This window comes from Homo sapiens, chromosome 3 (genome assembly GCF_000001405.40).
Source record: "Homo sapiens chromosome 3, GRCh38.p14 Primary Assembly".
NCBI lineage: Eukaryota > Metazoa > Chordata > Mammalia > Primates > Hominidae > Homo > Homo sapiens.
Genome location: NC_000003.12, coordinates 66049780 through 66063366, shown reverse-complemented (window position 1 = coordinate 66063366; position 13587 = coordinate 66049780). Strand labels below are relative to the sequence as shown.

Below are 13587 nucleotides of genomic sequence, written 5' to 3'. Positions count from 1 at the left end.
CTATGTGCCAGGCACTGCTTTAAAACATTATATATGTGGCCGGGCACAGTGGCTCATGCCTGTAATCTCAGCACTTTGGGAGGCCGAGGCGGGTGGATCACCTGAACTCAGGAGTTCAAGACCAGCCTGACCAACATGGTGAAACCCTGTCTCTACTAAAAATACAAAAATTAGCCAGGCGTAGTGGCGGGTGCCTGTAATCCAAGTTACACGGAAGACTGAGGCAGGAGAATCACTTGAACCCAGGAGGTGGAGGTGGTAGTGAGCCAAGATCGCACCATTGTGCTCCAGCCTGGGCAACAAGATCAAAACTCCATCCCCCCCGACAAAAAAAAATCATATATACAAGTGGATTTATTATGGACTTCAGTGACAGTACTGAGTCAAAAGCTATGTAATTCTCATCTCTCCTTTTCTTACAAAGTTACCATTGAAAACTGTTAACTGAAAAATGGCAACAACCATTAAATTTAGGTTTCTTGAAAAAAAGTCTATGTAAGCCATTTTAAAATAGGTTTGTGTTCTTCAGAAATGTCATTATCATGAAAGACAAAGAAAGGCTGAGGAACTGATCAAAATCAAAGGAGGCATAATTATTAAATGTAACATGCAACCTTGGTCTGGATTCTGTACTGAAGAAAAAAAATGCAACAAAAGTTCTTTTTGGGTCAATTGACAAAATTGGAGGATAGATGGTAGATTCAATAAAAATATTGATCAATATTTAATTACCTGCAGCCGGGCGCAGTAGCTCACGCCTGTAATCCCAGCACTTTGGGAGACCTAGGCAGGCAGATCACAAGGTCAAGAGATTGAGACCATCCTGGCCAACATGGTGAAACCCTGTCTCTACTAAAAATGCAAAAATTAGCTGGGCATGGTGGCATGTGCCTGTAGTCCCAGCTACTCGGGAGGCTGAGGAAGGAGAATCGCTTAAACCCAGGAGACGTAGGTTGCGGTGAGCCAAGATTATGCCATTGCACTCCAGCCTGGGTGACAAGAATGAAACTCCATCTCAAAAAAAAAAAAAAAAAAAAGAAAGTTTTGCATATGACAAATGACAAAGTAAATAGGCAGACGTTAACAGTTTGTGAATCTATGAAAAAGGGATGTGAGAGTTTTTTAATACTATTCTTATAATTTTTCTTGACACTTGTAATGATTTATGAAAAGAAGTTTAAAAATTACATACATATAAAAAACAGCATTCCTAATAGCACAAAGGTAGGAATGAAAATTCCGAGCACACACCCTCTGCAGCTGGGTATCATTAAGAATGATGTCCCATTGTGACCAAATATTAAAAGTTTGATCCGCCATGGTGAATTTCCATGAATTTGGGCAATAAAATGAAACATTCTCCCAGTCTAGGGTTTTATTATCATTCCCCTGGGAATGTATACTTGGTCAGATATTCTTTATTTTGGCACCAGGTCACCCGCCATTCCAGAATGTGTTTTGAAGTCAATTCATCTCTTAGGCCATCCAAATATTGAAAATGTCATTAAAATATAAGGTAAAACTGAACAGGTTTTTATCCTGAAATTCCCCCAGTCCATTCCTATTTCTCTTCATCATTGGGGAATTTTTGCTTGTAATCTGAAGTCCCTAATGAGCTTAGACTCTTGATTGGTCAAACATAACTTTGCCCCGATTTAAAGTTTTTTCCTCATTTAACAATGTGATTTATATGCTAACTTACACATATCTCAGGAGGTGAAGGATTCAAATACCAGCCATGACTTGGGACTTTAAAAGAAATAACTTTGTGTAGGCTCAGTTATACATGGAGAGAAAATTCTTACCTCATGGAGATGATGTAAGAGACAATTATCATTTGCAAAACGTCTCAAGGTCTTAAGATGAAAGGGGTCATTTGGGTGTATCAGACTGTCATTTTTATTATGGGTTCTCTCACATTTCTTTGATATTATACAGAGCACAATCATTTTAGCCTGTTTCCTCAGAAGTCTATGAAGGTGGTTGCCTCATTTTGCCCATTAAACAAATGAATTTACTTTCCCTTGGCTGCAGGAAATGTTCCTATCAATGGAATAAAAAATAAAGAAACTCATAGGCCTAGCCATGTTGCTTCTCCTTTATTTTCACTGGGTGACTAACTTAGCTATTTTATTTTCAATTATTGTTTGGCTTTATTTTTTATAAGAGATGAGGCCTCGGTCTGTTCTGAGGCTGGAGCACAGTGGCCATTCAGAGGCACAATCATGGCACGCTACAGCCTTGAACTCCTGGGTTCTGGATCCTCCTGCCTCAGCCTCCCAAGTAGCTGGGTCTACAGGGGTGCACCCCCATGCCTGGCTTGTTTTACTCAATTTTTGTCATGTTATTGTTTCAGTTTAATTTCATTAAACAAACTAATTTTACCTTAGTATGTTTGAATCATAAGCACATGGCCAAATAAATTCCACCAATAGTTATTCAGCACCTACCATGTGTTAGGCACAGAGAGAAAACGGATAGACAAATAGACTCAGTCACTGATCTCATGAAGCTCAGAGTCCAGTCAAGGAGAAACAAGAGAAACAATCACACGATTAAGTATTTAATTTTATTTTTCTGTTTTTATTTTTAAATGTTTTTAGATGGAGTCTTGCTCTCTTGCCCAGGCTGGAGTACAGTGGCCCGATCTCAGTTCACTGCAACCTCCGCCTCCTCAATTCAAACTTTTCTCCTGCCTCAGCCTCCCAAGTAACTGGGATTATTGGTGTGTGTCACCATGCCTGGCTAATTTTTTGTGTTTTTAGTAGAGATGGGGTTTCACCATGTTGGCCAGACTGGTCTTGAACTACTAACCTCAAGTGATCCGCCTGCCTTGGCCTCCCAAAGTGCTGGGATTACAGGCGTAAGCCACTGCACCCAGCCAAATACTTCATTTTAAAGTTTGGCAAAGGCATAAACAGAAAGTAAAGAATGAGACAAGGGATTATAAAGATGGGCTTGATGTAAATCAATTTCTAATAGATCTTTCCAGTTCTGGTTGTAATGAATGTGATCACAGATTTTTCTCATAGGTCAGTTATTTTAATAACACATTAATTTGTCAGAAACCATGCATCTAGGCCACAGGAAGAGTTCAGAATCATTTTCTTATCAATGCTTCTTATTTTCTCAGAGTTTTAATATTTTTGAGGATTACATGATGAAATGGAATATTGCAACTGTAGAAAAAAATGGCAAATACTGAGCCAAAATTGGTTCTTACATACTTGTTGGTAAAAATCAAGAGGAAATTAAATATTTTTTAAAAGCACAAAATAAACAATATTGTAGCAATGAATTAAGGAACAAACTATAGGACTCACTTCCATTCCTGAGATAACATCTAGTTAGTTATTAAATGCTTTCTATCTCTATAGAGTAAAGGCTCAATAAATGATACATTTGTTGGGCTCATACTGCCTTTTTCACTTAAAAGTATTGAATAATCTTGCATAGAAATGACCCCCTTCTGGTACACATCCAAGATTGAGTACTGAAATAACTGTAAAACTCTCATAGGCAGTCTCTTAAGTACAGTTACACATCGCTTAACGAGGGGGTCATGTTCTGAGAAATGTACAGGTAGCAGATTTCCTCATTTTTTGCACACCGCAGAGTACACTCACAAAAACCTAAATGGAACAGCCTACTACACACCTAGGTTTTATGGGATAGCCTGTTGTTCCCAGGCTGCAAACCTGTGCACCATGTTACTGTGCTGAGCACTCTGGGCAATTGCAACAGAATGGTAAGTATCTGTGTATCCAAACATATCTAAATATAGAAAATGGGCCAGGCCTGGTAGCTCACGCCTGTAACCCCAGCACTTTGGGAGACTGAGAGAGGAGGATCCCTTGAGCCCAGGAGTTTGAGACCAGACTAAGCAACATAATGAGGTTCTTGTCTTGATGAATTTTTTTTAAAAAAACTAGCTGGGCGTGGAGGTGCACACCTGTGGTTCCAGCTACTTGGGAGGCTGAGTTAGGAGGATTGCTTAAGCCCGTGAGGTGGAGGTTGCAGTGAGCCATGATCACACCACTGCACTCCAGTATAGGAAACAGTAAGACCCTGTCTCGAAAGAAAGAAAGAAAGAAAGGAAAGAAAGAAAGATGAAAGAAAGAAAGAAAGAAAGAAAGAAAGAAAGAAAGAAAGAAAGAAAGAAAGAAAATGTATAGTAAAAATACAGTACTAAAATCGAATGGGACCAATGTTGTATATGCAATTTGTCACTGACTGAAACATTGTTATGTGTTGCGTGGCTTGTGTTAATAGGTCTAAATAACCACAGAGGACTAGACATTCATTGGACCTATCACCTGCTTCTTAAATAAGCATGTGATATTAGGCCCTGGAGGTAACAATCAGCACTTAAAATACTCCCTGGCACATACTGACTGCCCCAAAATATTTGTTGATAAATGAATGGATGGATCAATGAATGAGAAAAAGAAATCTATCTATTTGTAGGAGAAAAGAGGGTTATATGCCAAAAACTAAGCAACCAAACCCAGTTTTTGAATTCTTCTACTCAGCATCTCAAATTTAAAACTTTTGGTTCAACAGCCTGTGTTTACATAGGCTATTGTTTAGAAGAGTTGATACAGCTTTCAAACAAAGCAGCATGTACAACACTTGTTGCAGCTTTGTATATGGTAGCTAAAGGTTACAGCCTGTAATCCCAGCACTTTGCGAGGCCAAAGTGTGAGGACTGTTTGAGGCCAGGAGTTCAAAACCAGCCTGGGCAACATAGCAAGACCCTGTCTCTATAAAAATCTTTCAAAATTAGCTGGGTGTGGTGGTGCGTGTCTGTAGTCCTAGCTACTTGGGAGGCTGAGGCAGGAGGATCTCTTGAGCCCAGGAGTTCCTGTTACAGTGAGCTGTGATTGCACCACTGCACTCCAGCCTGTGTTACAGAGCAAGACCCTATCTCAAAAAAAAAAAAAGTTAACAACCTAAATGACTCCCTGTAGGAGCTTGGTTAAATAAATTACAGAACCAAAAAATGAAATAGTTTGCAGCTGTTTAATAATTTTAAGTACACTTCCTCAGATACCTGAGAAGGTATTTGTTGCTGTTGCTTCATTTCACTGATTAAACAAATTCCCCCCACCACCCATTTACAGGTAGGGTTCATAGCAATAAAATGAAGAATGAAAAATTTTGGTCATGTTGCCCTGTTTAAGAAGCAGCTTAAATATTTTCTGATGCGGAACAACCTCTAAGATACATTTCTGAGCAAAAATAGCAACGGTAATATAGTACCATTTGTGTAAATTAAAGGGAAGATCTATGCACAGAATATCTTAGAAAGTACACACAAGGAAATGTGCAACAACTAAACTGTTGCCTTTGGAGAGAGGAACTGAGATGAGTAGGATGGATACCCTCTTCTCACTGTATACCTCTTTGTATGGTTGGCATTTTTCTAAAAAAACACACATATTTTTACTTAGTCAAAATTTCATTTTTATATTTAAGGGATAAACTCTTGGAAGATTTCACTTAAAAACAAAACAACTTAAAAGAAGATGGATCTTGGAGCAATTCCACCCTCATTCTGATATTCTATAGATGCTGCTGTATTTTTAGAGTGCACAGAACTGTTTCTGGATTTCTATCACCCTTACCAGCTAGGACAATTTGGATACCAGTTACAGAAGTTCCAATTTAAACAATAAATAGAATCTAGGGCCTTACCTAGCAGAAAAGTCTAGAAGCAGAGTATGCTTCACATGTGATTTGATTCCAGGCTTGACCCCTGTTTCTCTTCAATTCTTTCAATCTGGCCTCCTCTAAATTAACACTGTCCCCAGGCTTGGATCCCCTCTTGGTGGCAAAAAAAAAAAAAAAAAAAAAGTCGCCCCCCACCCCACCAGGCCCTGTACCTACACCATCATCACCAAACTGTGCAGAATGAAGGGTGCCTCTGTCCCTGCATTACAAGTACAACCAACCAGCATATTTTATTTATTTTTATTTTTTGAGACAATCTTGCTCTGATGCCCAGGCTGGAGTGCCGTGGTATAATTTCAGGTGACTGCAACCTCCACCTCCTGGATTGAAGTGATTCTCCTGCCTCAGCCTCCTGAGTAGCTGGGACTACAGGCATGCGCCACCACACCTGGCTAATTTTCGTATTTTTGTAGAGATGGAGTTTTGTCATGTTGGACAAGCTGGTCTCAAACTCCTGGCATCAAGGGATCCACCAGCCTTGGCCCCCCAAAGTACTGGGACTACTTCCCTGTATGTTGCGGGAAGTCAGGAACATGAAACGGAGGGACCGGCTGAAGCCATGGCAGAAGAACGTGGATTGTAAATCTTTCATGGACATTTATTAGTTCCCCAAATTAATACTTTTATAATTTCTTATGCCTGTCTTTACTGCAGTCTCTGAACATGGATTGTGAAGATTTCATGCACACTTATCACTTCCCCAATGGATACCCTTGTCATTTCCTATGCTTGTCTTTACTTTAATCTCTTAATCCTGTCATCTCGTAAGCTGAGGAGGATGTATGTCGCCTCAGGACCCTGTGATGATTGCGTTAACTGCACCAATTGTAGAGCATGTGTGTTTGAACAATATGAAATCTGGGCACCTTGAAAAAAGAAAAGGATAACAGCAATGTTCAGGGAACAAGAGAGATAACCTTAAACTCTGACCGCCGGTGAGCTGGGCGGAACAGAGCCATATTTCTCTTCTTTCAAAAGCAAATGGGAGAAATATCGATGAATTATTTTTCTCAGCAAGGAATATCCCTGAGAAAGAGAATGCGTCCCTGAGGGTGGGCCTCAAAAATGGCCCCCTTGGGTGTGGCCATTTTTTATGGTCAAGCTGTAGGGATGAAATAAGCCCCAGACTCCCATAGCGCTCCCAGGCTTATTAGGACGAGGAAATTCCCGCCTAATAAATTTTTGGTCAGACTGGTTGTCTGCTCTCAAACCCTGTCTCCTGATAAGATGTTATGAATGACAATGCATGCCGAAACTTCATTAGCAATTTTAATTTCGCCCCATCCTGTGGTCCTGTGATCTCGCCCTGCCTCCATTCGTCTTGTGATATTCTATTACCTTGTGAAGCACGTTATCTCTGTGACCCATACCCTATTTGTACACTCCCTCCCCTTTTGAAAATCACTAATAAAAACTTGCCAGTTTTATGGCTCAGGGGGCATCACGGAACCTACCGACATGTGATGTCTCCCCTAGACGCCCAGCTTTAAAATTTCTCTCTTTTGTACTCTGTCCCTTTATTTCTCAAACTGGCCGACACTTAGGGAAAATAGAAAACAACGTACGTGAAATATCAGGGGTGAATTTTGCCTGATATCTGGCTGAATTTCCCCCGATACCTGTAGTTACAGCTACTTGGGAGGCTGAGGCAGAAGAATCACTTGAACCCGGGAGGCGGAGGTTGCAGTGAGCCGAGATCATGCCACTGTACTCCAGCCTGGGTGACAGTGAGACTCCATCTCAAAAAAAAAAAAAAGAAAAAGAAAAAAGAATACTGTTTTACCATGTGGTCATTTCACTTATTAATACAAAGTATTAAATGAGCAAAGGAGCACCCATCTATGATATGCACAATCACCAAGTCAAGATAGAAACCCTGCCCCAACTCAGTATCATGAATGTCCCATTTGGATTCCTTTCCCCCACGGAAGGAGTTCCCCATGGTCCTGGTCAGCTTCTATCTGTGGTTTTGAAATAGAAATCACAGCTTTGAATACTGCCGAATTTGCTGGCCTTTTCTAAACCTGGAATCTGGCAGAACCAACTACTCCCAAAATGCAAGCTGCATTTTCACTATTGAGGCTTTCAGATGGTTATGTCAGATTGTTTGAGTTGTTAGACAGCCAGTCAGCCAGTCAATAAATACAAACTGTGCCCTTTCTGTGTGCCACATTCTGAGTAGGTACTTAGCATGCAGTAGTTAACAAGACAGGGTCCCAGCTGCCCCCCTACCCCTTGCCCAGCTTGGTCCAGCAGGGAAGGCAGACGGCAAACATATTTATTTAAACAGCTACATACAAACTGCAAGAAATCCTGTGTGATTTGTCCCTTGCTCCTGTCTTTCAGCTCCTCAAGGATGCCTCCCCCCTCATTCTCTGCAAGTCAGACACTGGATCTTTTATTTCCTAAAACTAGAGCTGTTTCTTTTCACCCCTGTGAACAAAGACTCTTCCCTCTATAAGGGAAACACCCTTCCAGTACCATATTCTTTTGTTGTTTTTTTGAGACAGTCTAGCTCTGTCAACCAGTTTGGAGTGCAGTGGCAGGATCTTGGCTAACTGCAACCTCTGCCGCCCAAATTCAGGCGATTCTCGTGCCTCAGCCTCCCTGCTAGCTGGGATTACAGGGATTACATCCCATGGCCAGCTAATTTTTGTATTTTTAGTAGATATGGGTTTTACCATGTTGGCGAGGTTGGTCCCAAACTCCTGGCCTGAAGTGTTCCTCCTGCCTCAGCCTCCCAAAGTGCTGGGATTATAGGCATGAGCCACTGTGCCTGGCCTGCAGGAGTATGTTTAATGTCTGCTGGAAAAACCTACTTTTCTGAGAATATGAGGGCTTTCAATGCCTGCTCAATTATTTTGTCTCTTGTCACAAGACACAAAGGATATCCTTGTTCTTAGGAAATACATACTAAAAATAATATTTAATATTGAGGATGATTGGTTAAAAAAAAGGAACCTGGGTGCAGTGGCTTATGCCTGTAATCCCAAAACTATGGGAGGCCTGGCCTCTTCCAGTACCATATTAATCACTTCTTCTTCTCTGGATTTCAGTTGAAACTACATTTCCTAAGGGAATACTTCCCTCAGATTCGATCAGGTGTCTTTATAGTGTCTTCCAGCCATGTCTGCATTTTCCGCTTGGCACACAGTCCCTTTAGAATTAGACATTTATTAGGCAGATATTTGATTACTATCTGTCTCCCCAGCCAGACTCTATGCCCCATGAGGGTAAGAGTATTTGCCTATTGTTTTCCACTTTGCTTTTCCATGCCACACCAAGCAGACTGTCATCTCAGGGCCTTGGTTCTTGCTGATCCTACTGCCCAGAACACTGTCTCCCAGATAGCTACTTGATCCACACTCTCACTGTCTTCAAACCTCTGCTCAGTTCTGAACTTAGCCACGAGGCTTCCCCTTATCACCTTGTACATAACAACAATCCTAACCTTGGGCATCAAAAGTCCCCCTTTCCCCCTCCATAGCACCTATCTTCAGAGACTCTATTTTCTACTTTGTGTATTGCCACAGTAGAATGTAAGCTCCATGAGAAGAACGCCTTTGCCCAATTAGTTAAGGGCTTTTCCCCCACTAGTTCAAAAGTGCCTGACATATCTTAGGTGCTCAATAAATATTTATTGAATTAAAGGACGAATCATTACCTAAGGTGTAGCAAATTGGCACATGATAAGCCTTGCAAATATTTTGGGAATGCCTGCATGAGGACGTACACGTGCTGCTAAAACAAATACAAGACATTTAACCTAGTTGGAGGAGTCACGTAAGGTAGAATGGAATAAGAAAGAGGGGGCTGGGCACAGTGGCTCAAGCCTATAATCCCAGCACTTTGGGAGGCTGAGGCGGGTGGATCACTTGAGACCAAGAGTGCAAGACCAGCCTGACCAACATCGTGAAACCCCATCTCTACTAAAAATACAAATATTAGCCAGGCATGGTGGTGTAGGCCTGTAAACCCAGCTACTCCAGAGGCTGAAGTGGGAGTATCTCCTGGGCTTGAGCCCAGGAGGTGGAGCTTGCAGTGAGCTGAGATCATGCCACTGCACTCCAACCTAGGCAACAGAGTAAGATCCTGTTTCAAAAATTAAAAATAAAAAAATAAAAAAATAAAAAGAAAGAGGGTTTCAGCCCTTTTGATGATGTTAATCCAGTAGGTCAAATGTCAGTCAAACTTTCTTACAGTTGGTGGTTAGACTAGAATGTACAAACAGGAATGGGAATAGTGTTAAACCCTTCACTCCCCAAATTTCCATCTCTCCCAACCCCCTTGCTCTTCAACATATTTTCATTCAGCTGGCAGTTTTTGTAGTTCTGCAGTTTCTTGCCAAGAACAGAGATTGAAAATGTCCCACAGAGAAATCAGCATCAGGGTTAACCAACTGGAAGCCAAACCCTGCAGTTATTTTCCAGCGTTCCTCAACTCCCAGGAGAATCAGAGCAAAAAAAAAAAGGAGCAGAGGTTAGAGGGCAGGGTTCTAGAAGTGTCATTCTCTTACATACAATGTCTGAGTTGTGTGGGTGGAGGGACTGTAGAGGGTATGGAACAGAGAGCCTTGTGCCTGAATCTTTTGGGAGATGAATTTCCTCTCCCTCTTTACATGTTCTGGTCTTTTACTTACTAATGATACTAAAGGAGCTATATGGTTTCTCCTGGAGCTGTGTCAGGATTTGCTCCATAAATTACCTGGGAGGATGCCATATGCAAATACAAGAAGAAATAGCAGTCTTAGTATTCATGGTGACAGCTTAGTTATCCTCAGGGGAAGGGAAGGAGAAGTAGGTATCTTTTTTCTTAATAAAGTTTTTCCTATCACCTCCGAATTCCATAGCTGTTCTTGGAAACAGGTTGGAATCAGCCTAGAAATTTTAGTAACAACAATTTAGCCTAAATTTCAACATAATGCCATATAATAGTTATAGTACATTGCTATACTCCTTTGGAAACTACTTTAAAGATCTATTCACACAATACTTTTCTGGGATGTAGGAAGCCTCTCAAGGAGATAAAAGCCATTCAAAATATGATTGTTATCTCCCTAAACCCAGATCAGTTTGCTTTTAATGTAGTTATCACTAAGAAGATTAGCAACACTCAATTCATACACAAAGAAAGAAAGAAAGGAACAAACTATATATTAACCATCAACATCATTATTGTTAGGCTAAATGACACCTCATGTGAAAAGTATTTCATAATAATAGCAATCATACTCATTTTATGGTTGAGGACAGTGGAGCTGATATAGGTTATAAGACTTCTCTGAGGGCTGGGCTCAGGCCTGTAATCCTAGCATGCTGGGAGGCTGCAGTGGGTGGATCGCCTGAGGTCAGGAGTTCCTGGTTCAAGCGATTCTCCTGCCTCAGGCTCCCTCCCAAGAAGCTGGGATTACAGGTGCCCGCCACCACACCTGGCTATTTTTGTATTTTTAGTAGAGACACGGTTTCACCGTTGACCAGGCTGTTCTTGAACTCCTGACTTCAAGTGATCCACCCGCCTTGGCCTCCCAAAGTGCTGGGATTATAGGCATGAGCCACCATGCCTGGCTGAGCATGGGCTTTTATAACTGGCAGAATCAAAGCCCTGTGCTTTCACATAATGTCTAGACATCCTCAGGCAAGTCTTTTTTTTTTTTTTTGGAGACATTGTTTTGCTCTGTTGCCCGGGCTAGAGTGCAATGGCATGATCTCGGCTCACTGCAACCTCTGCCTTCCAGGTTAAAGAGATTCTCTGAGATCGTGCCATTGCACTCCAGCCTGGGCGACAGAGCGAGACTCCGTCTCAAAACAAACAAACAAACAAACAAAAAAACCCATGCTCTAAATCAAGATGTTCTGAGCACTATAATATTTTTATTTTCTGTAAGTTATATGTTTATATTATATACCACATTCTATATTATTTTAATATGTCACAACTTTGTAATGTTGCCAGAGTGGTTTTTTAAAAATTATTTTAGGCCGGGCACAGTGGCTAGCACTTTGAGAGGCTGAGGCAGGTGGATCACTTGAGGTCAGGAGTTTGAGACTAGCCTGGCCAACATGGTGAAACCCCGTCTCTACTAAAAACTACAAAAATTAGCCAGGCGTGGTGGCAGGCAACTTTAATCCCAGCTTCTCAGGAGGCTGAGGCAGGAGAATCACTTCAACCTGGGATGTGGAGGTTGCAGTGAGTCGAGATTGCACCACTGCACTCCAGCCTGGGCAACAGAGGAAGACTCTGTCTCAAAAAATATATATGTATTTAAAATTTATTATTATATATATATATTTTAAAAAAACAGGTCTCACTATATTGCCCAGGCTGGTCTTGAACTTCTGGACACAAGCAATCCTCCCGCCTCAGCCTCTCAAAGTGCTGGGATTGCAGACGTGAACCACTGTGCCTGGCCTTTCTTTTTTTTTAAATGAATTTTAGGTAAAATTGATATAAAATAAAACTCCCCATTTAACCATTGTAAAGTATATGACTCAGTAGCATTTAATAAATTCATAATGTTGTGCAACCATCACCACCGTCTAGTTCCAGAACCTTTTAATCCCCTCCCAAAATAAATCCCATAACCCTTAAGGAGCACCATCCTCACTCCTCCTGTCTTCAGCTCCTGACAACTACTAATGTATTTCCTGTTTCTGTGGATTTGCCTATTCTGGACATTTCATATAAATGCGATCATACAATATGTGGTCTTTTGCATTTTCCTTCTTCCACTCACCAATGTTTTCAAGGTTGTTTTATGTTTGAGCATGTATCAGTACTTTCTTTCTTTTTATGGTTGAATAATATTTCATTGTATGGATATACCGCATTTATTTATCTATTAATCCATTGAGGGACATTTGGGTGTTTCTGAATTTGGCTGTTGTGAATGTTACTTCTATGAACATTTTTGTACAAGTGGTTTGTTTGCACACCTGTTTTCAGTTCTGTTGCATATATATATACCTAGGAGTGGAATGGCTAGGTCATACAGTAATCCTATGTTTGACTTATTGAGGAACTGCCCACTGTTTTCCACAGCAGCTACACCATTCTACAGTCTCTCCAGCAATGTATGAGGGTTTCAATTTCTTTGCATTCTCACCAACATTTGTTATTCTCATTTAAAAAAAAAATATACTCATCCTAGTGGATGTATAGTGGTATCTCCTTGTGATTTTGATTTGCATATCTATAATGACTAATGATGTTGAACATATTTTTCATGGGCTTCAGAGTGTTTTAAGATAAATTTTAATTTTAGAAAAGTCTTAGGTTTATAGAAAATCTGCAAAGATTATATAACAGTATGTTAGTAACACAATCCTCATGTAAAATGTACTGGAAGGTATCTCTATGCTTCCTCCACTTCTTCTGTCTTAGGCCTTAAATTTTTTGATAGAGAAACATGTCATTGGAGCACACTATAGTTATATATTTATTTAGAGATGGTGTCTCACTCTGTCACCTAGGCTGGAGTGCAGTGGTGTGATCATAGCTCACTGCATTCTTCAGCTCCTGGGCTCTAGGGATCTTCCCACTGCAGCCTCTTGAGTAACTAGTACTACAGACATACACCACCATGCTCGGTTAATTTTTATTTTTGTAGAGACAGGGTCTCCTTTTGTTGCCCAGGCTGGTCTCGAACTCCTGGCCTCAAGGGATCCTCCCACCTTGGCTTCCTGAGTAGCTGGGATTACAGGCATGAGCCACTGTACCTGGCTCACACTATAATTACTAATGAAGGCTCTAGCAATATTGCTTATTTTGCCTTAAAACCATAGGGTAGATATTACAGGGATGTTAGAAATTAATAAATGGAAGTATATAGCACAGTGGTTAAGAACATGGTCTTGG

General features: G+C 40.9%; 1 annotated feature.

The window, feature by feature from the left end:
* Positions 6766-7288: an enhancer, noted in NCBI's record as "NANOG hESC enhancer chr3:66041754-66042276 (GRCh37/hg19 assembly coordinates)". NCBI's record gives its function as "activates a minimal SCP1, AML or CMV promoter by ChIP-STARR-seq in primed H9 embryonic stem cells {active_cell/tissue: H9 hESC(primed)}" and the evidence as "EXISTENCE:reporter gene assay evidence [ECO:0000049][PMID:30033119]".